At 47.8% G+C, this 25,527-nt stretch overlaps 1 protein-coding gene across 31 annotated transcripts in view, besides 12 other annotated features; it reads right to left on the bottom strand.

The window, feature by feature from the left end:
* Positions 1–1,256: part of a mobile genetic element, noted in NCBI's record as "direction; forward", that runs on past the window's edge.
* Positions 552–612: a tandem repeat, noted in NCBI's record as "polymorphic allele, with some alleles containing two repeats, rather than four repeats". NCBI's record gives the evidence for it as "EXISTENCE:nucleotide sequencing assay evidence [ECO:0000219][PMID:22260357]".
* Positions 613–673: a tandem repeat, noted in NCBI's record as "polymorphic allele, with some alleles containing two repeats, rather than four repeats". NCBI's record gives the evidence for it as "EXISTENCE:nucleotide sequencing assay evidence [ECO:0000219][PMID:22260357]".
* Positions 674–734: a tandem repeat, noted in NCBI's record as "polymorphic allele, with some alleles containing two repeats, rather than four repeats". NCBI's record gives the evidence for it as "EXISTENCE:nucleotide sequencing assay evidence [ECO:0000219][PMID:22260357]".
* Positions 735–795: a tandem repeat, noted in NCBI's record as "polymorphic allele, with some alleles containing two repeats, rather than four repeats". NCBI's record gives the evidence for it as "EXISTENCE:nucleotide sequencing assay evidence [ECO:0000219][PMID:22260357]".
* Positions 1,306–1,861: an enhancer, noted in NCBI's record as "NANOG-H3K4me1 hESC enhancer chr4:183735292-183735847 (GRCh37/hg19 assembly coordinates)". NCBI's record gives its function as "activates a minimal SCP1, AML or CMV promoter by ChIP-STARR-seq in naive H9 embryonic stem cells {active_cell/tissue: H9 hESC(naive)}" and the evidence as "EXISTENCE:reporter gene assay evidence [ECO:0000049][PMID:30033119]".
* Positions 6,035–6,154: a silencer, noted in NCBI's record as "silent region_15824". NCBI's record gives its function as "represses an Ori minimal core promoter by ATAC-STARR-seq in GM12878 lymphoblastoid cells {active_cell/tissue: GM12878}" and the evidence as "EXISTENCE:reporter gene assay evidence [ECO:0000049][PMID:35858748]".
* Positions 6,799–7,300: an enhancer, noted in NCBI's record as "H3K4me1 hESC enhancer chr4:183729853-183730354 (GRCh37/hg19 assembly coordinates)". NCBI's record gives its function as "activates a minimal SCP1, AML or CMV promoter by ChIP-STARR-seq in naive H9 embryonic stem cells {active_cell/tissue: H9 hESC(naive)}" and the evidence as "EXISTENCE:reporter gene assay evidence [ECO:0000049][PMID:30033119]".
* Positions 7,429–8,367: an enhancer, noted in NCBI's record as "H3K4me1 hESC enhancer chr4:183728786-183729724 (GRCh37/hg19 assembly coordinates)". NCBI's record gives its function as "activates a minimal SCP1, AML or CMV promoter by ChIP-STARR-seq in naive H9 embryonic stem cells {active_cell/tissue: H9 hESC(naive)}" and the evidence as "EXISTENCE:reporter gene assay evidence [ECO:0000049][PMID:30033119]".
* Positions 9,447–9,496: a silencer, noted in NCBI's record as "silent region_15823". NCBI's record gives its function as "represses an Ori minimal core promoter by ATAC-STARR-seq in GM12878 lymphoblastoid cells {active_cell/tissue: GM12878}" and the evidence as "EXISTENCE:reporter gene assay evidence [ECO:0000049][PMID:35858748]".
* Positions 9,517–9,606: a silencer, noted in NCBI's record as "silent region_15822". NCBI's record gives its function as "represses an Ori minimal core promoter by ATAC-STARR-seq in GM12878 lymphoblastoid cells {active_cell/tissue: GM12878}" and the evidence as "EXISTENCE:reporter gene assay evidence [ECO:0000049][PMID:35858748]".
* Positions 12,020–12,189: an enhancer, noted in NCBI's record as "experimental_76710 CRE fragment used in MPRA reporter constructs". NCBI's record gives its function as "activates a minimal promoter by MPRAs in K562 erythroleukemia cells, with activity observed for the introgressed 4:183725049 variant allele {active_cell/tissue: K562}" and the evidence as "EXISTENCE:reporter gene assay evidence [ECO:0000049][PMID:34662402]".
* Positions 12,976–25,527, bottom strand: part of TENM3 (teneurin transmembrane protein 3) — a 1,355,412-nt gene continuing 1,342,860 nt past the window's right edge. For all 31 annotated transcript variants that reach the window (XM_017008385.2, XM_017008389.2, XM_017008390.2 and 28 more), the window contains 3 exons: positions 22,115–23,726; positions 19,233–19,363; positions 12,976–16,404 (listed from right to left, as the gene is read on the bottom strand). In XM_017008385.2, coding sequence (XP_016863874.1) covers positions 15,649–16,404; positions 19,233–19,363; positions 22,115–23,726 — 2,499 coding nt within the window. In that variant the 3' untranslated portion in view covers positions 12,976–15,648. The remainder of the gene's footprint in view (positions 16,405–19,232; positions 19,364–22,114; positions 23,727–25,527) is intronic.

Here is a 25,527-nt window from a genome sequence, read left to right as displayed (position 1 = left end):
CCCATTTTACGACAAGAATTATTTAGATCTTGTAGGATGGAAAAATTGAAAGTGCCGTTTTCTGGCTATTTGGAACTACTGTCGAGTTTGTATTGGGGTCAAGCGGCATTGCAGAAGAAAATGAGACGCTTAGATTTTAGGTCAGGTGAGAATTGAAGAGGTTTTAAGTTCTTAAGAATACAGGCTAAGGGAGAAGAAGGAGGAATGGAAGGTGGAAGCTTGCCCATAGTAAAGGAGGCAAGCCCAGAGAAAAGAGTAGAGACACGGAGAAGGGGTGGGGGGTTCTTGCCCTCCAGAAAAGCAGAGAAAGGGTTGGGGCATGGAAATAAGGGATTGGGGTACAGAAATAAGAGGTTGGGGTGTGGAAAAAAGGGATTGGGGCACAGACATAAGAGGTTGGGGCATGGAAATAAGTGATTGGGGCGCAGAGATCAGAGGTTGGGGCATGGAAATAAGCGATTGGGGGGTTCTTGCCCCCTAGGAGAGCGGGACTTGCCGCTAAGGGTGAAGGAGAAGGGGTTGAGGGGTACTTTCCCCTCTCCCAGAAAAGCAGAGAAGGGGTAGAGACAAGGAGAGAAGGGGTTGGGGTACTTGCCCTGTCCCTGGAAAAGCAGAGAAGGGGTAGAGACAAGGAGAGAAGGGGTTGGGGTACTTGCCCTCTCCCCGGAAAAGCAGAGAAGGGGTAGAGACAAGGAGAGAAGGGGTTGGGGTACTTGCCCTGTCCCTGGAAAAGCAGAGAAGGGGTAGAGACAAGGAGAGAAGGGGTTGGGGTACTTGCTCCTTCCCCAGAAAAGCGGGACTTGCCGCTAAGGGTGAAGGACCAAAGCAGGTGTCCCTGCGTGGTCTGACACCCTTGAAACGTGGGTGTATAATCAGAGAGGCGTCCCTGCAATGATTAAACACCAAGGGAAGGCTGCCTTCCCAGTCCGTGACTGGCGCCGGAGTTTTGGGTACACGGATAAAACATGTCTCCTTTGTCTCTACCAGAAAATGAAAGGAATTGAAATTAAGAGAAGGGAGAGATTGAAGTGTGGCGCCAAGATTGAAAGGAGAAAGAGGTTGAGGGATAGTGAGGGAGGTTGGAGAAGAGAGTAAAAAGAGGCCGCTTACCGGATTTGAAATTGGTGAGATGTTTCTTGGGCTGGTTGGTCTGAGGACCTGAGGTCGTAGGTGGGTCTTTCTCATGGAGTAAAGAGCAGGAGGACGGGGGATTGATCTCCCAGGGGAGGTCCCCTGATCCGAGTCACGGCACCAAATTTCTTGCGCATCTGTGTGAAGAGACCACCAAACAGGCTTTGTGTGAGCAACATGGCTGTTTATTTCACCTGGGTGCAGGCGGGCTGAGTCCAAAAAGAGAGTCAGCAAAGGGAGATAGGGGTGGGGCCGTTTTATAGGATTTGGGAAGGTAATGGAAAATTACAGTCAAAGGGGGTTGTTCTCTGGTGGGCAGGGGTGGGGGTCACAGGGTGCTCAGTGGGGGAGCTTCTGAGCCAGGAGAAGGAAATTTGCAGGGTTAATCACTCAGTTAAGGTGGGGCAGGAACAAATCACAATGGTGGAATGTCATCAGTTAAGGCGGGGCAGGGCCTTTTCACTTCTTTTGTGATTCTTCAGTTACTTCAGGCCATCTGGGCGTATACGTGCAAGTCACAGGGGATGCGATGGGTTGGCTTGGGCTCAGAGGCCTGACAGACAGGGTTATTTTTTCTGGCACCTTCCACGGTGACTCTCACAGGCACATGCTCAGGCGTGCCTGCCACTCATAGACTTGGGGGCCAACACGTTGGGCGGTCTGACCCCCACTCCTACTTCCATCTGGGCAGCTAGGCCTGTGTCTGCTTTGCCCTCTTGTGAGATTTCATTGACAAAATGATCCACAGCTAAAAACTAGTGGCAGACCATGGACGGGGGTCTCACAGGGTCTTAGACTTGGTCCCCTGTGGGGTCCCTTTGGCATCCTGGACCCTCTGATGGAGGTGCCCAGGGATGGTGATGGGTAATGGCACAGTGGGCTCCAGGAACTGCCCCAGCACTTTCTCTGGGGGAGAGGCCCCTTCCTCCACCCTCCTGACAGCCAGTCCTGAGGGGTCCCCCTGCTTGCAAAACCCTCCATGGCGGTCCTAGGAACTGGGCACCAGAGAACCCCTGACCAGGGATATCGTGAGTGACCCAGTGCTCTGAGAAGCTGGCTTTCCCACCCGGCCCTGGCCCACCCTGGACACAGACGCCTCTCTAGCAACAGTGCAGGGGATGCTGGGTCTGCTGCCTCTCATTCAGGCACTCTCAGGCAAGGGAGGTGGATGGGGTAGGGGAGAATGTTAAACACAGAGGAAACTGAGGGGCAGGGGCAGCAAGTAGTTGCCTTGCTATAGTCAGGCAGAAATGTGTGTGTGTGTGATGGTGTGGTGAGTGTGCATGTGTGGTGAGGGTGTGTGTGTGTCTCTGTGGCATGTGTGGTGTGTGTGTGTGTGATGGTGTGGTGAGTGTGCATGTGTGGTGAGGGTGTGTGTGTGTCTCTATGTGGTGTGTGGTGTGTGTGTGTGATGGTGTGAGTGTGCATGTGTGGTGAGGGTGTGTGATGGTGTGGTGAGTGTGCATGTGTGGCGAGGTAAGTGTGTGTCTCTGTGGTGTGTGTGGTGTGTGTGTGTGATGGCGTGGTGAGTGTGCATGTGTGGTGAGGTGTGTGTGTCTCTATGTGGTGTGTGTGGTAAGGGTGTGTGTAGGGTGTGTGTGTGGTGAGTGTGTGTGTGCTGTGCGTGTGATATGGTTTCACTGTGTCCCCACCCAAACCTCACCTTGACTTGTAGTTCCCATAATCCCCATGTGTTGAGGGTGGGACCTGGTAGGAAGTGACTGCATCACGGGGGTGGTTTTCTCCTTCCCCCATCATGCTGTTCTCATGATAGTGAGTGAGCTCTCAAGAGATCTGGTGGTTTTATAAGGGACTCTTCCCCTTCGCTTGGAACTTCTCCTTCCTGCCACCCTGTGAAGAAGGTGCCTTGCTTTCCCATCCCCTTCTGCCATGATTGTAAGTTCCCTGAGGCCTCCCAGCCATGCCGAACTGTAAGTAAATTAAACCTCTTTCCTTTATAAATTACCCCATCTTGGCCAATACTTTTTTTTTTTTTTTTTGAGACGGAGTCTCTCTCTGTCGCCCAGGCTGGAGTGCAGTGGCGCGATCTCGGCTCACTGCAAGCTCCGCCTCCCAGGTTAACGCCATTCTCCTGCCTCAGCCTCCCGAGTAGCTGGGACTACAGGCGCCTGCCACCATGCCCGGTGAATCTTTTTGTATCTTTAGTAGAGACAGGATTTCACCGTGGTCGCCAGGATAGTCTCGATCTCCTGACCTCATGATCTGCCTGCCTTGGCCTCCCAAAGTGCTGGGATTACAGGTGTGAGCCACCATGCCCGGCCAGCCAACACTTTATAGCAGTATGCAAAGGGACTAATGCAGTAAATTGGTACCACAGAGAGTGGTGTGCTGCTATAAAGATACCTGAAAATGTGGAAGTGACTTTAGAACTGGGTAACAGGCAGAGGTTGGAACAATTTGGAAGATTCAGAAGAAGGAAGGAAAATGTGGGAAAGTTTGAAACTTGCTAGAGATTTGTTGAATGGCTTTGACCAAAATGCTGATAGTGATATGGACAATGAAATCCAGGCTGAGGTGGTCTCAGATGGAGATGAGGAACTTTTTGGGAACTGGAATAAAGATGATTCTTGTTCTGCTTTAGCAAAGAGACTGGTGGCATTTTGCCCCTGCTCTAGAATTATGTGGAACTTTGAGCTTGAGAGAGATGATTTAGGGTATCTGGTGGAAGAAATTTCTAAGCAGTAAAGCATTCAAGAGATGACTTGGGTGCTCTTAAAGGCATTCGGTTGTATACATTCACAAAGAGATGGTTGGGAATTGGAACTAATGTTTAAAAGGGAAGCAGAGCATAAAAATTTGGAAAATTGGCAGCCTGACGATGTGATAGAAAAGAAAAACACATTTTCTGAGGTGAATTCAAGCTGGCTGCAGAAACTTGCATAAGTAATGAAAAGCCAAATGTTAATCGCCAAGACAATGGGGAACATGTCTCCAGGGCATGTAAGAGGTCTTCACAGCAGCCCCTCCCATCACAGGCCTGGAGGTCTAGGAGATAAAAATGGTTTTGTGGGCTGGGCTTGCTGCTTTGTGCAGTCTCAGGACTTGGTGCCCTGCATCCCAGCTGTGGCTAAAAGGGGCTGATGTACAGCTCAGGCCATTGCTTCAAAGGGTGCAAGCCCCAAGACTTGGCAGCTTACACGTGGTATTGGGCCTGAAGTTGCACAGAAATCAAGAATTGAGGTTTGGGAACCTCCACCTAGATTTCAGAGGATGTATGGAAATGCCTGGATGTCCAGGCAGAAGTTTGCTGCAGGGGTAGAGCCTTCATGGAGAACCTCTGCTAGGTTAGTGCAGAAGTGAAATGTGGGGTCAGAGCCCCCACACAGAGTCCCCACTGGGCATTGCCTAGAGGAGCTGTGAGTAGAGGGCTGCCATCCTCCAGACCCCAGAATGGTAGATCTACCGACAGCTTGCACCATGCACCTGGAAAAGCTGCAGACACTCAATACCAGCCCATGAAAGCAGCCAGAGGGGCATGTACCCTGCAGAACCACAGGGGTGGAGCTGCCCAAAGCTGTGGAAGCCCACCCATTGCATCAGAGTGACCTGGATGTGAGACATGGAGTCAAAGGAGATCATTTCAGAGCTTTAAGATTTACTGCCCTGCTGGATTTCAGACTCATATGGGGCCTGTAGCCCCTTCATTCTGGGCAATTTCTCCAATTTGGAATGGATGTATTTATCCCATGTCTGTACCCCCATTGTATCTAGGAAGTAACTAACTTGTTTTTGATTTTATAGGCTCACAGGCAGAAGGGACTTGCCTTGTCTCAGATGAGACTTTGGAGTTGGACTTTTGAGTTAATGCTGGAATGAGTTAAGACTTTAAGGGACTGTTGGGAAGGCCTGTTTGTTTTGAAATGTGAGAACATGAGATTTGGGAGAGGCCAGGGGTGGAATGATATGGTTTGGCTCTGTGTCCCCACCCAAATCTCATCTTGAATTGTAATCCCCATAATCCCCAGGTTTTGAGGGAGGGACCTGGTGGGAAGTGACTGGATCATGGGGGTGGTTTCCCCCATGCTGCTCTCATGAAAGTGAGTGAGTTCTCACAAGATCTGATGGTTTTATAAGTGTTTGACAGTTCCTTCTATGTATGCATTCTCTCTCTCTCCTGTCGCCATGTCAAACATGCCTCTTCCCTTTCCACCATGATTTTAAGTTTTCTGAGGCCTCTGAAGCCATGTGGAACTGTGAGTCAATTAAGCCTCTTTCCTTTATAAATTATCCAGTCTTGGGTATTTCCTTACAGCAATATGAGAACGAACTAATACAGTGTGTGTGTGGTGAGTGTGTATGTGTTGTGTGTGTATGTGGTGAGGGTGTGTGGTGGGTGTGGTGATAGGGAGTGTGCATGGTGAGTGTATTTGTGTGTGGTGATGGTGTGTGCGTGTGTCGTATGTATGTGGTGAGGGTGTGTGTGTGTGGTATGTATGTGGTGAGGGTGTGTCTGTGTAGTGATGGTATGTGTGTGTGCTGTGTGTTGGTGTGTGTGGTGAGGGTGTGTATGTGTGTTGTGATAGCATATGTGTGTGGTGTATGTGTGTTTGTATGGTGTGTGTGTGTGTTTGTATGGTGTGTGTGTGGTGATGGTATGTGTTGGTAAGTGTGTGGTGAGATGGTGTGTGATTGTGTGGTGTGCATGTGTGTTGTGCATATTTGTGTGGGGTCTGTGTGTGTGTGGTGTATGTGTGTGGTGAGGAGGTGTGTGTAGTGATGTGTGTGTGTGTTGTGAGGGCGTGTGTGTTGTGTGGTGAGAGTGTGTGTGTGTATGTGATGGTGTGTGTGGTGTGTATCTGATATGTGTGTATGTGGTGTGTGTGTATGTGGTGTGTGTGGTGGTGTGTGTGTGTGTGGTGTGAGTGTGTATGGTGAGGGTGTAAAGTAAGCAGTGCTCCCCCTGGAGGGCCCTCTCGGGGATGCTCCTGCCCTGCCTGCATTCCACCTGTCCCTGCCCAGGATCCCTGGGAAGGTGTGGGGGTGGTGACAGACTCAGGGTTGGGTCATGGCCCTGGCTCTCACAAGTGACTGTGGGCAGAAGTAGAAAGGATCCTTGTCTTTTTGTGGGGCTGGGGGACTATGAAATGGCAGGGCAAAACCACCAATATGGGGTGGTTTTTACTGTGAGGCAGAACCCTTTCACTTGCCTTGGCACTGGACTTGGCCTGTTTTCAGGGGGCCACCATTTTGGGCACCCTCACTGCCAGGGTCTTGAACTTGATGACCAGCGAGGCCTGATGCCGCCAGGGACCAGGCAGGGCCCAGGAGGGAGAACTGGTGAGGCGTGCCCTTGGGGTTCAGTCCAGTTCTAGCCTTTAAGGCTGCCAGAAAAAGGGGGACAACATTGGGCACCATCAGGCATGGACCCAGGGACCCTGTGCTGTCTCCTCTGCCCACTTCCTTCCTCCTCGAGTTTCCTTTTCTGGAGCAGGGCAAAGCATGGGATGCTGGCAGGGCTGTGTTTGCAGGTTGCCATGCTCCGTGTCATTTCCTGTGCGGTTACAAATACTCACGCCCGAGAGTCAGGCTGCATCATCTTCAAACGGCGAGCAGTGAGCTCTGGGGTGGGGACAGGGCAGCTACTAGGCTCTGTCCTGCAGGAAGTGTGAGGAGGTGCCAGGGAGCCCTGCTCGCCACTTCCCTCCCTGGTGGGTGGGGGCTGCAGGGAGAGCAACCCCCTTCCCGTCCTGGGGCCTCTTCATGTGGCTGAGCTTTGTGGCTGGGGTTCCCGCAGCTCGGGGACTTTCCCAGGAGATGGTGAAAGACGTCTGGGTGGTAGCCTTGATATCACCATGGGCTCTTTCTTCTAGCTTTTTCTGTCCACACACATACACATGCACACACACATGCACAAACACACATGCACACACACGCACATGCACACATGCACACATGCCTGCACACACGCACATGCACACACATGCGTGCACATGCACACACCCACAGCACGTGCACACATATGCAAACACACACATACACATACGTGCACACTCACATGCATACACTCACACATGCACACACACGTTATGTACACACATCCACACACGCACACCCCCACATGCACACGTGCACACATACGCAAACACACATACACATACGTGCACACTCACATGCATACACTCACACATGTGCGCGCACATTACGTACTCACATCCACACGCACACACCCACCCACATGTGCGTGCACACACACATACACAAAGGCACACATACACGTGTGCACACTCACATGCATATACTCACACACGTGCACACACCCCACACATATGCACACGCACACACACACAGAAATGCACACATACACGCACTTGCAGGCACACACGCACATGCACACACACATGCACACATGCGTACACAGATGCGTGTGTGTGTGCACACACATGCAGCGTCTTGGCACGGGAAGTGGGGAGGGGCGGCTGGGGACCAAGGTCTGGGTTCACTGTAAAGATGGGGAAACCAAGGCGCAGAGGCCAGTGGTCATCTCCGTCTCGGCAGAGCCAGCCTGAGGGGGTCTCCCACGCTGGGCTCCTCCCGGCTTCGCTGCTTCTCCAGGGAGTTGCTAAGTGTGATTAACTGGAGCACTAATTGGCAGAGGCCGCAGAAAGAGCCTGAGTGGTGGCGAGGCGAGTCCTGTTGCCCTTTGATTTACAAGAGCCCGGGAGCCTGCCGTCCGCCGTGTAACAGGCGCGAGAGGAACCGGCAGGCAGCCGCCTCGGAAAAGGCCAGAGCCTGGCTCCGGCGCCTCTCGCAGGCAGCGCCATGGGGTGGCGGAGTGGGAGCCAGGGCGAGGGACTCAGGTCGGGAGCAGATGCATGGGGCCTCCCGATCTGGGACTGCCAGCCTGTGCTTACGACCCAAGAACTTGTGTTTAGGACCGGGTTCCCGAGCAGCCCCAGAGCCAGACAGAGTTGTCACAGCAGGCGAGGCGCTCGCTGCTGCCGGTGGAGAGCCCCTGCCTCTGGCTTCGGCAGAGGCCCAGGGCGGGAAGCAACCTGGCTGAAGGCCACAGGCGGTGGGGGCAGCATCCGCAAACCCGGGGCTCCAGACCTGGTGCAATATTTCTCCTAGTGCCACAGCCCACAGCCTCCTTGGTGATATATGTGTGTGTGTGTGTGTGTGTGTGTGTGTGTCTGTGTGTGTGTGTGTGTGTGACAGAGAGAGAGAGAGAGACAGATATCTCACTCCGGGCCTCCTGGTCATCCCGGCTCCCAGTGGGCAGGGGAGCGCTTTGCCCTCCTGGTGAGTGGGGAGGAACGAACTGGGCATGGGCACGCTGGGCTCCAGCTCAGGGAGCAGGGCCTCTCCCGTCATCCTGCCACTGCTGCCAGCGCCTGGCTGATCTATCTTGGTGTCCCGTTAGTGGCCCTTTGGGATTTCCCATGCAGCTGTGCCTGCTGCTTCCCAACCCGGCCTTTATCTAGGTGATATTTTGGCTTTCCTGAGCCATCTCCGGCCTTACTCATTTCAGCGAGAACCCGGGTAGGAAAAAGGGCCTATATATTGGCCTCCCAAAATGCCAGCGGGCTCACTCACGGCCGGTTTCTGAAGGCAGGACACCAGCAAACAGGCTGCTATATGAGATTAGCATCCATTGGCTTCTCTGGGCGACAACCCAGGGGCAAAAGGTTGAATCCCTCCCCACTTCTGCGCCGCGGTGGCTTTCGTGGCTGCCGCAGGCTTGGGTAGAGGAGGGAGACTGGATGTCACCGCTGCAGGGAGGCCAGGCCGAGGCGGCTGGGGAGCTGCGGGGAAGCGGGAGGGGGGGCGGCTTTCGCTCTTCCAGGCTGTCACTCCAGCACGTTCCGTGAGAGCCCAGCTCCCTCAGAAATAAAAATGCCACTCTGAATTTAAGTGATCCGTTCTTCCGGGACATTCTTTCCAGCGACAGGACTGTTAACATGAAAAGTAAAAGGGAAACAATATGATAGTTCAGAAATCACTGTTTTCAGGCGCTGCGGAACTCAGCCCGCGGACGATTCCCGGGAGGAAGGGCCTTATTTCGATCTGTGAGTGAGAGCAACGCGGCATGACAGTGTCTGCTCGACGTGCAGGGAAATCTTACCCGAGCCACTTTGGCAGGGCCCAGGCCTCGGTGCGGCGGTGCTGAAGCAGAAGTCTCCGCTTTAAGTGTGAAACTCGGAGGGCAGAGCAGAGGTGGGGAAGAGAGGGTCAGAGAGCCGGCCCCGCCGCGGTTGGGGTGGAGAGTGGCGAGCGGCGAGCGGCGGCGCCTTCTCTTCGGTTTCACCTCGGTTTCTGGCCCGGGAACTGCCCTTTTGGCGTGCAGGACTTTCCCTACCACAGCCGCGCGTCACTAGGGGGCGCCGGAGCCCTTCCTGAAATCGCCGCCATCCCCTGCAGGGCCCGCCCGGGGATGCAGGAGGGGGCGTCCCAGGACCCCTGCCCACGGGGCCGCCGGATGTTGGGACGGCTTTTCCATGTCCGCAGAAGCCGAGTCCCAGGAACCCCAGGGGAAGGCCAGAGGGAAGCCCCAGATGAGGGAGGACTCAGGGAAGGGTGTCGTCTTCCTCTCGCTACCTCCCGTTCTCTGCCTTGGGTCACCTCTGTGTTCTGCAGTGACCTGTCACCTGTCAATGCTCCAGACTGAAGTTAAACGCCAGGCTTGATTTTTTTTTTTTTTTTTTTTTTTTGAGCTTGGAAATCATGTCATAGCTGAATAAAGATATTTTACAATCTGCTTGTTCGTTACCTTTTGTCAATAAATTAAGAAACTGGGGATGACAGACTGGCTCTAGGTCCTTTTGAGATCCTGAGTCATCAACGTCGCCCTGGCCCACCGAGGGAGCCCTATGGCATTCCTTCCAAGCCTTAAAGGACAGAGAGGGTTAGATTCAACCTGACCCATTGCAACGAGAGAGAGCGAGAGAGAGAGAGAGAGAGAGCGAGCATCGTGGATGCAAAGATAGTTCTGGGGACGATTTTTGCAGAATTTTCTCTGGAACAGGCAGACTAGACTTTCCCTAGTGTTCGTGTGGGAGGAAGGTGTGGGATGGGGCAGTCTCCAGCCTACGGTCATTAACCACGGTGCAGAAGAACTCCAGGTTGAAGAGAGCCTGGTGAGCCTCCTCACCGACCTCCACTGAGCGCCCCATTTTCAGCCTTTCAGTCACGCCCGAGAATTTGTCATTTTAAGTCCTTGGGCATTTATGCTCCCCGCACTCTCCCCTGATAGAGTTCACTTGTGAACATTTTTAAAAATTCATTTTGACCCAGCGGACCGCTTGTAAATCCTGACAGTTGTGTGCAGCGAGCTATGCCATAGAGAAATGGCCGCTGTGGCTGGAATTCAGGAAATCTCTGCACACAGGTGGAAGAACGAGATTTCCCTGCATAATACAGGATGAATGCCTGTGGCCAGGGCTAAGCGTAGCTCACAATTCACCCTGTAAGCAGGGGGACTGTTACCAAGCCAGTCTCTTGCCCTAAAAGTGACAATTTATGCTTCTAATTTTAATTTTCCTGAGCTTAGATCCCAGAAGGATTTATTAAATTTGCTTTGAGGAACCCATTAACTCTAAACTGAATAATGATGTTACTCTAGGCTTAGAATCGGTTGATAGTAAATTCTCTATCCACGGGACTCTAGGAATCCCGTATTCCTCCACGACAGGATTCTAAGTCGGTTCATAAATGAAAAGGTTTACTCAATTTACCTAAAAGTTATTAGTAATTAACTAACATCAAGAGACCATTGCTTGCAGGGGTGGTGAACAGCAAATGAGAAGTCTGGCAAACAGAGGACATTCATTATGTGGCTTAAATGAGAAGGTAGAAAATTCAAATGGCTTATCAGTACCTGTTTGGTACTCTGGCTTAACTCTGTGGTTAAAATGGGTGATAATGAGTTATAACTCATTTTTATTTTATTTTTTCATGGGTCTAGTAGGATGTTCAAAGCCAGATGAATAACTTATGGAAAATCTAGGTAAACAGCCCAATGGTCTTTCTTTTGGAAATGATGGAGAGTCAAACTTGGCTTACCTACACAGAAGGGCGTGAGGAGCTAGAAATACTGGCAGGCAGAGGGGGCACTCAAGGCATCTGTTTTGTTTAGTGTCGGCGGATCGTTATAGAATGAAAAATGCTAGTCCTGGCTGTAAATGATGGCAGCTTTGGAAAGATCAAGTGCCCATGGGAAGGGGGGCGGTAAGGAGTATTTGCGGTATCTTCCCGGGGAGCGTTATGAGGAGGCTGTGATGTAGTGGAGGGTACTAGCAAAGGGAATCTCTGCTCACCTTAACTTAAGCCACTTCTGTGAACTTGGACAACTCATTTCTGTAATTCCATTCCACCTCCAGCTTCTGGAATGGGGATGCATTTTGTGGACTGGGATGCTGGAATCAGATCACTCCTTGAAGGAAAGTGGGAGGAAATTTGGGTATCTATGGAAGGGTGAGATCTTAATATGTTGCCCTTCGAGGCTTCCCAGGGGCAGACTCACCCCACTCTGCTGGAGATCAAATGATACCCACCCCGCCCCGGCCAGATGGGTGGTGGCAGTTCTTGGTCCAGGTGGACCTTGTCCTCCTCTGTACAACAGCAAGCGAGCGGCTGTGAGCACTGCCCGGGTGGTTTTACCCAGACAGAACATGATGTGGATCAGTGCCTTCTGGCTTCCTCTCTTGAATCCCTCCTTTCCAAAAGCACCTCGGACAGCTGATTTGCTGTCAGCAGGCGAGAGAAACAACTGCATTCAGGAGTAGCCCAGGGCAAAAGGAGAAAGAAAAGATGGTGAACGGAGTGAAGAGTGGGCACGGATAGGGAAAGCATCAACGGCATTCTTTCATTAAAAAACTTTTTTTTTTTTTTTTTTTAAGAGACTGGGTCTTGTGTCGCTCAGGCCGGAGAGCAGTGCTGCGATCATAGCTCGTTGTAACCTCCAGCTCCTCTCCTCATCTTTTCAAGCGCTTGAGGACTGGTCCTGATTTTGAAGTACTTACAGTCAGGTGCTGCCCTTCTGTTGCGGTCTGGCAGTTAGAACCCCATGCAACTGTTAGGATATGTGTGGTGAATGTAAAGACAAATTTCACGGGATGTGGCAGCAGCATATCCCATATTCAGATTATTTTTTCTAAGGTATAATTTTTACCGGCACCATTTTTATTTGCATTTGTTCAGACATTACTTTTAAGGAAAAGACTGTAGAGAAGGAAAGCAGTACTTCGCCTGTTTTTCTGGAATTCCGTTTTGATCATGTTAAAGTCTAATTCGAGGAGAAGAAAACAGACCAGTTTGCCAAGTGGAATGACCTGATTCTTGCTGGATCAACACGTTATGCAGTTGAGGTTGTCACTAGAAAGCAAGTGTGATGAAGTCTGCCTCTTCCGACTAAAATCAAAGCCCTGGCCTGCCGGCCAGAATTGCTGAACTAAGCATCTTCTAATCAGCCGGTCTATATGTAGATTTAGACATCTCCAGGAGGCTGCAAGCCTACCAGGCCCAAACTGATTATTCTAATCAAGTGTTTTAATTAAGCACACTTATTGCCAGGATCACAGGAATGAGGCCTGCTCTCAAGTAGTAATGGGTGGTATTTTTGTAAACTCTTCTTTACAGTTAGCGTGTTTGGCTTTGTGGGGGTGTGTTTACTGTTTTTCTAAAGTAGGCCATGGGAGAGTCCCCTGTGAAGTTCACTCTGCTGAGCCAGCAGTCTGGCCAATGGACAAAAAAAAAAAAAAAAAAGATACTACCAACTGGGTTGCAGATGAATCAATTCCCCAACAACTGCATCTATTTGCGTCCTCCACGTTAAACACAAAAGCAATGCTGGCTAGCCCAAGACTTGAAAAAATATAAAAACACACACACATTGGGTTGGCTTTTATTGGAATGCCTAGGTGCAATCTATAGTCATCAAGTTATGGAAAATTCAGGTCACATATAAAGTTAAGAAGGCAAATGAAAAGAACAATACAAATCAGACAAAATTTACATCTCAAAATATCATGAAAGCATTTTGACTGGCTTTGCCTAAAATACTTTGAATATCAATTTCTTTTTTGTAAGCTAATTCTTTTCATTATACAGTCCCCCACCCCCTCCCAACTCTTAGAAAAAGGTCTTTTGTTTACATATTCCCCAAGGTCACTATTTCTTGTAAAAGCATGTCCAGATCACAAGTCTTTTTAGAAAGAAATAGGCTCATTATACCTACTAACAGGACACTAATTGGGTTGATTTGACTTCATCATCTAAAATAAGCACCAGGAGATACTCCAAATCTGTTATTTATCGGTGCCCGAGTGAAGACCAGTCCACGTCAAGAAGAGGTTAAGACTATGATCTCACTTCTGTCATGTGGCACAAGCTTTTCATGGTAATACATCAGAAACATGTCTGAGAATTTAGACTCAGAGCCTATTTCACCCAAAAGTACTTACAGCATGCTAAATACAGGCCTGCAGAAGTTCCACGGAACAGAACTGCAAATACCTAACAGTTAAAAAATAAAATGGAAAACAGAATCATGTTTATGTGGTTTGAAATCTCATAGTTTTCTAAATTTGGGCTTCATAATACTTGCCAAAGGATTTCCAGAATAAAAAATATTAATGCTAATCTGTGCTTTCATTCTAATAAAATATCATCAGCATTCATTAGAAGATTAATTACTTCGGTATGCTCTACCAAATACACAAAGACAGTAATAGCACTGATACTGTAAATTCAGTAGCTATTTTGAAACTTTCCCAGCCAATCATCTGTTTAATAAACACGCCTACTGTGCAATTTAGAGTATGTGATACATACAAAGCAGTTAGAAAATTATTTTCAATACATCACTTGAACCTTTATATTTACGACATGTTCACTTGCTATATTTTATCACCATTATACATAGAGGAAAACAGTGTGTACTATAGCTCGATGAACTGAGAAATATCTTCTAAAAATATTTTCGTGGCTGAATTTAGTGCTCAGGAAAGAGATTTGTCAGAGCTGAGCCGACACGGAAGTGCAGATGGCGGCTGGGCTCGTTCCCACACGCGTGCATGCATGTGTGCAGGAGGGCGCGGCTGTCAGTTCACTTCCAGCTGGATCTGCCACCCCCGGCTTCCCCGAGACAGAGCAGAGGCTGTCATTCAAACCAGCCCCCCAAGATGGTTTGGTCATGTGGGCTTAGAGTAACCCTGACCGGCTCCATCTGGCTCACCCACCACTGCTCGGTTTCTGCTGTCTTTCCTAGATCTTAAGACACGTGTTTAGGATCACGACTACATCAGAACCTTTCCTCCTCCTATTTCCCCAGCATCTGATGTGGTCTCTCCTCCATCAAGAGACAGAGCTTTGGAACAGTAACAGTAAAAACCTCGGGGTTAATTATATCAACAACTCCCCATTGACTTGCAAGGTTGAGAGAGGGCCAGAGAACCCTTCCTCCCGTTTTTTCAATCTTCTTCCCTTACATTCCACCAGCCCTAGTTGTCTACTGTGCCTCTCAGTTGACAATGCTGAGGACACTGGCCTGATGCGTGAGAGAGGGAAGAGAAAGGAGCTCTCTGATTCGCCACCCACCTAGAATTGCACGGTCCTATCCATCTAGTGATAGAAGCTTGCACATTTTTTCAACCTAATACAAAAATATTAACACTTCTGGACATTATAGGCATAAGTTGTTATATCTCTACAATATAATAATTCATACTGTACAGCTATAACAGATAACAAAAGGTGCAATCCTTTTAAAAAAATCACACAGTTCACGTTTTTATCATTTTATTTTTAAGTATAAATTTTTAAACACTTTACATAAATTAACTCCTCTGAGACTAAGATTTGATGTACAGTAAATTGTAATTCATATAAAAATCCATAAACAACTTGTCTCACATAATTTACAAAAAAATCAGGATTTCCTTTGCTTATCAGTGACAAGGATTCTAGTTGCCAGTTTTTTCCCCGAAGGGAAACCACGTTAGCATTGTAAAATCCATTAATAAATCCCCGCCGCAGAAGTCACTGTGCCAATGTCCTTCTACAAAGCTGCACAGGGAAAGCAGTTGGGTTGTCTAGAAACAGTAACTTTGCCCCACATTGTAAAATGAACAGAGATAGCTATCACATCCTATGCAGACAGACTACTTCTTGTAAGCAAAGGTCGACAATTCGGGACTATTTGGAAACACTGTACACATTTTTTTTTCTTTTTTAAAGTTAGTTAAATACAGTGCCTAGAAGGAACAGACGGCCCAGCGCAACAGGTCGAGGCCTTTGTCCTTGATGATTTTTTTTTCCTCTGGCTACGTTCAGTCCGACTGAGTGCAGCGCTATGCATATGTAAACATATTCGTTAAAGCCGATCACCTTTAAGGTCATTCGGAAAAAAGCGGTCCTTGTTTTCGCGGTGTGGGTGTGGGTCGTAACAGCAGTCTCATTCCCCCGGGAGGAAGGCTCTTGGGCGTTGGAGAGTCCCACTCGGGTTGTGCCACAGGACAATGTGGGCAGGGCGTGAGCGGCTCGGCGGGCGCGGCCCGGGCGTTACCTCCTGCCGATCTCGCTCTGCCGCAGGAACTGGATGTTGTTGGCGCTGTCGGCCAGCTCGGGGTACTGCTCCACCGAGAGTACGTAGTACCCGTCGTAGCCCTGCACCTTGCCGGCGCTCAGCAGCTGCCGCTTCTCGCCCTCCGTCCAGAGGCGCGCGCCCTCCTCGCCGTCGCGCACGCGCTGCTGCTCGCGCGCCCAGGCCCGGGCGAGCGCGCGCTGCCGCGCCTGCTCCAGGATGCGCGCCTTCTCCTCGTCCAGGGTCATGCCGTAGCGCACGTGCAGCGCCAGCGCGCCGAACTGCATCTCCACGTCCGCGAACCTGCGCGTCCTGCCGTTCACCACCGTGGTGGACTGCGACACCGTCACGTTGATGCCGTTCTCCAGCGCCTTGCGGCCGCTGGTCAACCGCAGCGTGCCCAGGTCGCTCTCGGGCGTGGTGGTCTTGATGAAGTAGTGCGTGTCCTTGCCCTCGATGGTGAAGTGCAGGTTCTCCAGGTAGAAGGCGTTGTTGAGCACGGCCGCCACCTTGATGCAGTCCTCGTTGGCGATGTTGAGCACGTTGGTCTGCACGCGGCCCTGGCTGACGGCCAGCATGACGCCCTTGCCGATCAGCGACTTGACCGTGGCGAACCACAGCCAGGACTGCGCGCCGCCGGCCCGGCGCCGGCTCACCTGCACCTCGGCCATCTTCCCCAGCGACAGGAAGGCCTTGGCCTGCCGCGCCACTTGCTGCTGGACTCCGAAGATGGGCTGCGGGCGAAACAAAAGAGGGGGCGCGTCAGAGGCGGCCGGGAGCCTCCCCACTCCTGACCCACACACGGGACTCTGGGGGCAGCGCCGGGGCATGCATGGAAGCCCCGGGGTCCTTCCCTGACCAGAAGGCTGACAGCCCGGGTGGAGGGAGCACTCGAGATCCCTCCCCCTCAAGGTGATCCCGATGCTCTGGAACCCCCAAATGGCTCACTCATCGTGGATCACTTTAAAGCTTTCTTCGTTTCTAACATGGGAAAAATAGTCCTGTTTCTTGCTTTTCTCTTACAGTTTCTAGATGCTCTTTTCCCACTCCCACCCCACGTGGGGAACCCAGCTCATCCGGATCTGCATGCTCGTAGCTTTCTCCACAGGAGGCTGAGAAGCCACCAAACACAGAGAGGGATCTGAACGGCTGGGGATACTTAGTGCCGATCACAGGGCCCCGCTTCGTATGCTTTGAAATGCTTGTATTTAAGTCAACTCTGTCCCCTCTCCTGGCAGAGTTTTCAGCTGAAGATGGTGAGTGTAACCGCAGAACTGAAATGTACAGGGATGAGTGGAAGGTGGGGCAGCTGGAGACGATATTTGTTACTTTAGGAAAACAATTATTTTTCTCAGACTTAGGGACAGTGGACCGTCTAGACTGGCAAATGTTTTAAATTGGGGGCATCTTAACTCAGCCATTTCTTATACCACCAGATGTTTGTCTGGCCATTGTTTCCCAAATGAAAACATCTGTTTCATTTGCGGCAATGAAAGAAACAGTTGTTTTTCTGTACTTGGGGCAGCCTCAGTGTCTTTGCCCACGATTTCCTATGCTGTCCTTATGGTGCACTTCTTTTGACAGAGAACTTGAACCATATTTAAAAGGCTGCTTAGGAAAAGAGCTGGCAAGTCCATTTGTACAGTTAGATGTAGGTGTTTTCAGGCATGTTGGAAAGTCATACACAATTAGGAAGTGCATGTTCAAATGCATTAGGAAACTTCGGTATGTCTTCATGCCACTGTATCAGTGTAGACAGTCATGCACTGCTTAACCGCAGGGAGGCATTCTGAGAAATGTGGCATTAGGCCATTTCGTCCTTGTGTGAACATCATAGCGGGCACTTACACAAACCTAGATGGTGTAGCCTACTGCACACGTAGGCTGTATGGGATGGCCTATGGCTTCTAGGCTGCAAACCTGTATACGGTGTGACTGTACTGAATATTGCAGGCAACTGTAACACCATGGTAAGTACTTGTGTATCTAAACATAGAAGAGGTACAGTAAAAACACAGTGTTGGCAGAGCCCGGTGGCTCATGCCTGTAATCCTAGCCCTTCAGTAGGTGGAGGCAGGAGGAACGCTTGAGACCAGGAGTTCAAGACCAGCCTGTGCTACGCAGGGAGACTCTTATCTCTACAAAAAATAAAAAATTAGCTGGGTGTGGTGGCACGTGCCTGTAGTCCCAGATACTTGGGAGCCTGAGGTGGGAGGATCGCTTGAGCCCAGGAGGTCAAGGCTGCACTCCAGCCTGGGTGACACAGTGAGACCCCATTTCAATTAAAAAAAAATATATATGATATTGTAATCTTATGTGATCACCACCTTATACAAGGTCTGTCATTGACCAAAATGTTGCACACACACGACTATATTTGTAACTTATGAAAAAGGAATTGCTTTTATATTAGGTATGAAACAACAAAAAACAGGTACTGGTACTGTAGATAGCCTGTGTGTGTGTTAACCATGGCTGCCTCTTCTCTTTGTTTTCATTGAAATGATAGGAAATTGCTCAAGGGGTGGTTGGGAATTAATTGTCCTAAGAAAGTCTGCACTGTCTTCTCCTTATGATCATGGAGTCACCCAGTTTCTCCATCTCTAATTATTCTTACTGTAAGCTGGAAATTCTGGTGTTTTGCTGTGCATTCCTTTCTGGTCTCTGGTGGGGATTAGAAGTACCACTTTCTGAAGCGGCAGCTTTGACTTTGCAATTTTCTATTATATTTCTTTATTTCTTATAATGGTTACAGGCCTCTTGATCTGCTATTCTCAGGAAAATTCCATAAACCTTCCTGGTTGTAGGTGGAGCCTTACCAGAGGACATTTATTTTTATTTTTAATCTTTTCCTATGAAACACTATTAATTAATTAATTATTTTTTTTTTGAGACGGAGTTTCGCTCTTGTTGCTCAGGCTGGAGTACAATGGCGTGATCTCGGGTCACTGCAACCTCCGCCTCCCAGGTTCAAGTGATTCTCCTGCCTCAGCCTCCTGAGTAGCTGGGATAACAGGCATGCCCCACCATGCCGGGCTAATTTTGTATTTTTAGTAGAGATGGGGTTTCTCCATGTTGGTCAGGCTGGTCTCGAACTCCCGACCTCAGGTGATCCGACCTCCTCGGCCTCCCAAAGTGCTGGGATTACAGGCGTGAGCCCCCTCACTCGGCCAAAACACTGTTAATTTTTAAAGAAGTTGAACCTTGTGGCATTGTTTGTGGTTTGCTAATTTGTAATATGAGTTCCCTGCCCTTTTGTTTATTGTATTTTTGCCTTCAGGTCCACGCTTTCTTGGGGTTCTTTTTAGAAACCCAGCACTCGAAAGTGAGCTTCTGCATTTCTATGTTTTCATTAGCATTGCTGAAAACATATTTAAGCCTGTTTAAGAGGCCTCTGGTTTGTTGAACACAAATGCAGAGGAAGTGTTGTTTTTTTTCCCTAAAACAGTCAAAAAGTTAAAAACTGTCTTTGGTACAGTTTTCACAAGGGTAGTTTGATTAGATATGGGTAGATAAGACACAAGCTACTTATCACCTTTCCGTAGGTCTTTTTGTTTCTTACCGGTATATCATCCCACTGCTGACTCTTCACAAGTTCGTAAGAAGGTTCTGTTAAATCAAATTTGGGAACAGGGAATCCAGGAATAGCATTGTGCAGATGGAAACCAAATGTCACCAGCCAGCTGTTAACATCTAGGAGAAGAATGTTCAGAATGAAAGGTGTTGGAGTTTGTTTTGTCCTTTCATAAATTTAAATTCTTACCTTAAAAAGAAAATCCAATTTCACAATTAATAATCTGAAAAAGAGCACCTGTTTGCTTTCGTCCTACAAATCTAAACCTACTGTTTTTAGACATGAAGACGGTAACCTTCACAGCAGAACTATGGCAAATGCTACGAAAAATGCGAGTAATAGATGCTCAGACAGACTGGGTAAGCCATCAGTCCTGCTAAGTTGCAGCCTGTGCTAGTAACAGTGCTAGCAAAGGTAAGAACAATGCACAGCAGCAGGAGAGAGACATACTTGTAGAAAAGAAACGAAATTTATTTTGTAGTTGGTCAAGGCTGGTCTCAAATAGAAGTTGTGTGTTATTAGCTCTCCAAAGCGATTGCCCAAGGATATGCGGACTTCCACAACCCATTTTCTATTAATAAAACCCCTAAATTGAGAGTATTAAAATCAACAGTTGATTCTTAATCAAAGATGAATGCTGCAAGCTGGCAAAACTGGCCAAGGGCCCAGAAGTCCTGATTACCATCAGTTGTGACTTCAAAGGCTCACTGTGCACAGGTGGAGACAAACTTTTTGGGGAGAGAACCCGGAAACCTTTAAGGTGGTATTTTAAAATATTGCCATGTGACTCCAAAAGCCATTCAGCTCAGAATAAGGCTTTTATTCTATTCTGGAGGTTATAATGTTACAGAACTACTCAGCAGGCTTGCAGCTTTATGAGAACGGTTGGGTGTAGATTATTTTATATATTAAGCACATTGCTGGAAAATTTGAAATTGCATTTCACCTAATATATTTTATGCTGTTCCATCTCTCTTTTGATGTTTTTCAGAAAATGCTGCTATGGCATTCCCTGCAGTCCACGTTGCTAGGAGAGGATGAATTCAGGAGCTGTGGGCTTTCCAGACTTTCAGTCAGCCCCTGTCAACACCCCTTAAATAACCAGTGGTAAACTGCCTGTCAGAATGATGGAGAGCCACTTGATTCCCATTTCCTTCTCTAGGGCACAGACTCTCACCTCATTGCCAGGCTGGCAGGTCATTCGTCCAGGCATCATATGGCTATAAAACCAGTGGTATTCTTTTTATTTGAAATGGGGTGGTAGTAGTGGTGGTGGGGAGACATAAATCCTAAGTGGTTCACACAGGATGCAAAGTGACACAATTTGTGTGTATGTAAGAGTGTATATGAGTTTGGGGGTGGGAGGGCCTTATTTTGGGAGAAAATTCTCCCAAATGTTGGAGTATTGGGGGCAAAAATTCTGTTACTCTGAACAATGTCTGCATAACAGTGAAAATCAGAGGACCGTAAGTATTGAAAAGTACTGCCAAAATAATGGGGTTTGAAGGCAGATGTGTATTGAAAAACCCTGAATGAGAATAAGGGTGCTGCTGAATCAGGAGGCAGAAAGGAGGGACTTTCAGCTGGTTCACATGGAAGAGATATGAAATGCTTTAGACAGTCTGGAAAGGTAGGAAGCAGATGTGAAATGAACAGGGGGCAACCTGTTGAGAGCTGTTTTGAGAACTGAGAGAACAGACATCTCAGTATGCCTCAAATATTGAGCTAGAAAAGAGGCAGCCTAAAGGAGCATCTAACACAAGCCAAAACAAAACCAAAATACCTTAAATCAAGCCCAAAAAAAAAAGACAACAGGAAAGAACCTTCCTCCTGGAAATATAAATGTGGTAGAGGGGTTAATGATGGTGCTGTATATCAGGAATGGAAGGTAGGAGCAGCAGGATTCAGAATTCTTGGAGTAGAGGTTGAGTGAAGAAGTCAGCTCACTAAAGGGAACTAGAGTAATGCTTGCAAGGACCTTGTCTGTTTCACATGCTGGTTGTTCCATGGTGGCAGAAGTGGGATCTGATGTTCTACATCTTGCATAACTAAAAAGGTAGCATGCACTAAACTTGGAAAGATCTTAAATCTGTACCCTGAAAATTATCCCACATTCGTGGAAAAATTAGTATGCCTATTAGTATTGTCACCATGCAAGAACTGCACTGGCAATGAAGACAGTGATGTAAGAAGACAGAAGTGAGTCCAGACACAGGATCCATTGTCTAAGCAACTGATGGGAGAAATGGCTTCGTGACTGTCCTGAGGCAATGGTGGTGAGGCAGGAATTAAACACCTCCCAGGGATGAAATGGTGTCACCTTGTATTGTGTTTCACCTTAATTATCTCCATGAGAACTTCACACATGTATTAAAAAAACCCAACATGACACATTCGTAAGGTAGTTACTATCTGTTGCAGAATTTCATGTATTATATTTGTGCCCTAAGTTAGCCATTATTATCCCAATTTTATAGTTAAGGGAATGGAAACTCAAAAAACATATGGCTTGCTTACAGAGCTACACAACTTGTGGGAGAGGAGCTGGGATTGGGACTCCAATTTTGGGACTCTGTGTTCATCATGTTTTTTGGTCCCCCATGTTCCCCTTCTTTAAATGACTGAGTACATGTCATTTCAAAAACTTGTGGCCTTGGGCAATGGCAGGCAGAATAGGAAGTAAATATGTCTCATTTTCCCTTTGTGATTTCTCTATGGTTCCATAAAGAAATAAACACATTTAAAAGGTTAGCCATTTGCCTTTGCCTGAGTAAAGTATAAAGTTTTTTAAAAAAGCATTTCCAGTTATTTTGTGTATTAATCTAATGATGGTAGTCCTCCAGCTCTTGGGAAGGAATCAAAATGCTTACCTGTGATGTAATCTTTCACGTCATGGATTTTGCTTGCAGGGTTGTTATTCCTAAACATGTACAAGTTAAAAGGAGCTGGGTCCTTCCCAATTCTTTTCCAGATTTCTATGTCAGGTGTTGTCCACCGTCCTGCCAAAATGTCATAATCTCTTTCTCCAAAGTGGATTAATTTGGTGAGTGGGTCATACAGGCCACCATGAAATCCAATTACCAGTTGAAAGTCAATATTAGAGTCAAAATAGATTTCCCCATATGCAGTGTACTGAATCTGTTTCAGCATAAGCCCATTGCTACTGAACACAGCCAGTGGTGTCCCTGTGTTATCCGATGCAATATAGAATTCATCCCCACTGCTGATTTCCATGGCAAAAAGATGTCCTTGGAGATCATAATACAGGGAGGTAATTTCTGAACTCGAATGGTTGTAGACATGAGTAATCCTAGTGGGATAAGTTAAGTCAGCATAAAAAAACTGCAGGTGCTGTCCTAGACTGGTTTTGCTAGAAACACGCCTTCCCAGGCCGTCATAACGGTAGATCACTGTCCAGCCACTGCCTTTACTGTAAACTCGAGTTAGAAGCCCCTTGGAGCTATATTCAAAGATTTCCGTGCCCCTTTGACGTAGGAAACCATCTTCATCCAACCGATATTGAACATCACCCAGTCGAGTGATTCTGTCTCGCAGGTCATAGCGAAGGGGTGTCAGACGCGCACTGTTACTTGGGTTCAGTAAATGGAGGTTTCCATTCAGATCGTAGTTGTACCGCCACATTATCTTTTCATTGAGGTAAACTGTTTGGAGCTGTCCATCAACATCATATTCATAAGCATATTTGGTGGTGTTGGCAAAGGGCCCTATTTTAATCTCTCTCTTGGTTACCCGACCCATGTTATCATACTGAATTGTAATCCAGTACATGAGCGACCTGAATATCTCATATTGAATCTCCTTGATACGGCCATGAGCATCAAAGTGCTTCGTATAGGTCATTACAGCTGTAGAAATGATCTGGTTAATATCATAATATATAACTCCAAACTTTCCAAACTGCTCAACTTTGCCAGAAATGTCATCAAACTGATACAGATCAATAGGCAGTGGCGTTTCATTGATCACACCCTGCATGCTGGTCACTCGAAAGCTGTTGTCATAGCTATAGTCAAATCTTGCATTTACCATCCCATCTTCACTAAAGCGGAAAATCTGCCTGTCAATCAGGGGACCAATTTGCCTGTATCTAATGGTGCAAATAAAACCATCACTCTGGAGGTTTACTGTCTTTAGGACTCCTGCTGTTTCATCATAGGTAAAACTGACTCTTGTGCTATCATATAAAATTTCTGAGAGCCTAGTCTGCCTTCTGTATTTGAATAAGACCCTCCGACTTGTACCCAAGAAAGCTGTTTGTAGAAGCAGCCCTTCCTCGTTGTAGTCCGTGATGATGGAGGCGTTGCTTTCCGGGGGGTTGTATATGTTGCGGTAGTAGCCAATGGATCGGATGGTCTGCATGGTGTGGCGAGCCACACTGGGCATGGTGATGGCAGACAGGCGGTCCCACATATCGTATTCGAAGATGTACTGCCGCTGGCTATGAAGCAGAAGAACCATGGACTGTAAAGAGAGAACATACTGTTACTCAGTGTTTGTGAACGGGAGATGCAAAAGCAGATTTAGTGACCACAGATGCACAGAAACATTCCACTAGAGAAAATGATTTTCATTTTAATTGAGTTATCCTTGACCTTGCGTGTTGTTAACGTTTCTCTGCCTAATTTGCTTGGATGCTTAATTGTGAGGGGTTCTGCAATTAGTGGCTCGAGATTCACAATGTGCTGCCTGTCACGACAGTACCATTATTTTCCCAGACATTCATAGCCAACCAGCAGATTTGTCAATGGATCTGGATTAGTCATAATACAGGCATGATCAAAGCTGCTTTACAGACAATATTTTGAGGAGAAAAGAGCATATGGGGAATGCAGTTCTATCCATAATTAGCAATTATTTAGTAAGGTGGCTTTCCCCCCCTCATCTGAGTGAAGAACCACTCAAATCATGTTTAATTTCTAGTGTACTTGGGGGAGGGGCAAAGCAGTCACAATATTATTGTATAAAGACATAAAATTAGCCAAAAATGGATAAAGTGTATACAAAGCATCGACACCAAAAAATATTGTGAAATTAATCACATGGTGAATGAGAGCTATAAATGCCCTTAATAGAAATATTATATATACACATACAGGCAAATTGTTACAAGGCATCCGTACTGACAATAAAATCTCCTTTTCTTTCTGTGGATACCAAATCCGATTTGTATCTCAGGAGCAATAAGGATGGTTTCTGGACTACATACTGCTTTGGTGCTAAATTATGAAATGAGTAAATGTATTAAAAGTGAACTCTATTTCATGAGCCACTGCCGAAAGACAAATGACAGTTACTAGGCCAACAAATGTGAGAGAAGGTCATCCCAGGCTGGTTAAGTCAAGCTCAGCAGTAACACAGGGCTGTGGGTGACTCTTCCCTCTGAGGAAGCTTCCTCTAACCCGCTGGGCCAAATGGAACATCATTGGCACAGGGAGGATGTGGAGCTTGGGAGCCCTGCTGGGACTTCTCCTTTGCCTGACTTCAGCTTCTGTAGAATCTCCTCTTTGGGCAGACCCAGGGGCAATTTTTGCATGCAGGTTGTGTAGTAAATGTCCTGAGAATTGTTCCTAATAGTTTGCATTGTTCCAAGGAAAGCTTGGACTTTGCCGAATTCACATGAATACCTACTTTTGGAATCATCTGAAGTCATATTTGATGGTGGTCTGTAAAATATTACTTGTTTTGCTATGAGTAAGTTTTGGCTTAGTGCACCTATCCCAGTAAGAACATCGAAATAGTCTGGGTGGATTTGATGGGTTTTGGGAGAGACGATGAGAAAGATCTGTCTGTTGTCTTTTCTGATCCTCCTGGATGCATGCAGGTGATCCTGGTCACTGCCTTTGTCATTCTGTGACAGCGGCTCTTCTCAATGATATGCTCCTGGGCTCCCTCTAAACATTTCCCAGTGCCATTATGATCACTACTATACATTTTAAGGGTTGTGCTTGTATGTTTCTGTTATTCTTCTCTGTAATGCACTGAATTTAAATTGGGAAAACTGCTCCAGAACGAAGCCATGATCCTCTCCCACTTAGAAACATTGCGTTAGGGGCTTGTCATCTAACAGGTGTGGTTCATTGTCTCAAGGGTGAGTCTCTTCTGATGAGAGCGGACAGGTGAGTTTGCAAGAGGACGGATTGGCCATGAGGGTCCTAGCTGGACGCATCCCAGAGGTGGGGGGCTGCCGTAAGAGAGGTAGCATCCTACAGTGAGCTTTGGAACTGAAACTGGTTCTCAGGAAGAGTAGCCTGTGCAGGCGCCG

Source organism: Homo sapiens, chromosome 4, assembly GCF_000001405.40.
Source record: "Homo sapiens chromosome 4, GRCh38.p14 Primary Assembly".
In the NCBI taxonomy this organism is placed as follows: Eukaryota; Metazoa; Chordata; class Mammalia; order Primates; family Hominidae; genus Homo; species Homo sapiens.
This window is presented reverse-complemented; position numbering and strand designations above follow the sequence as displayed.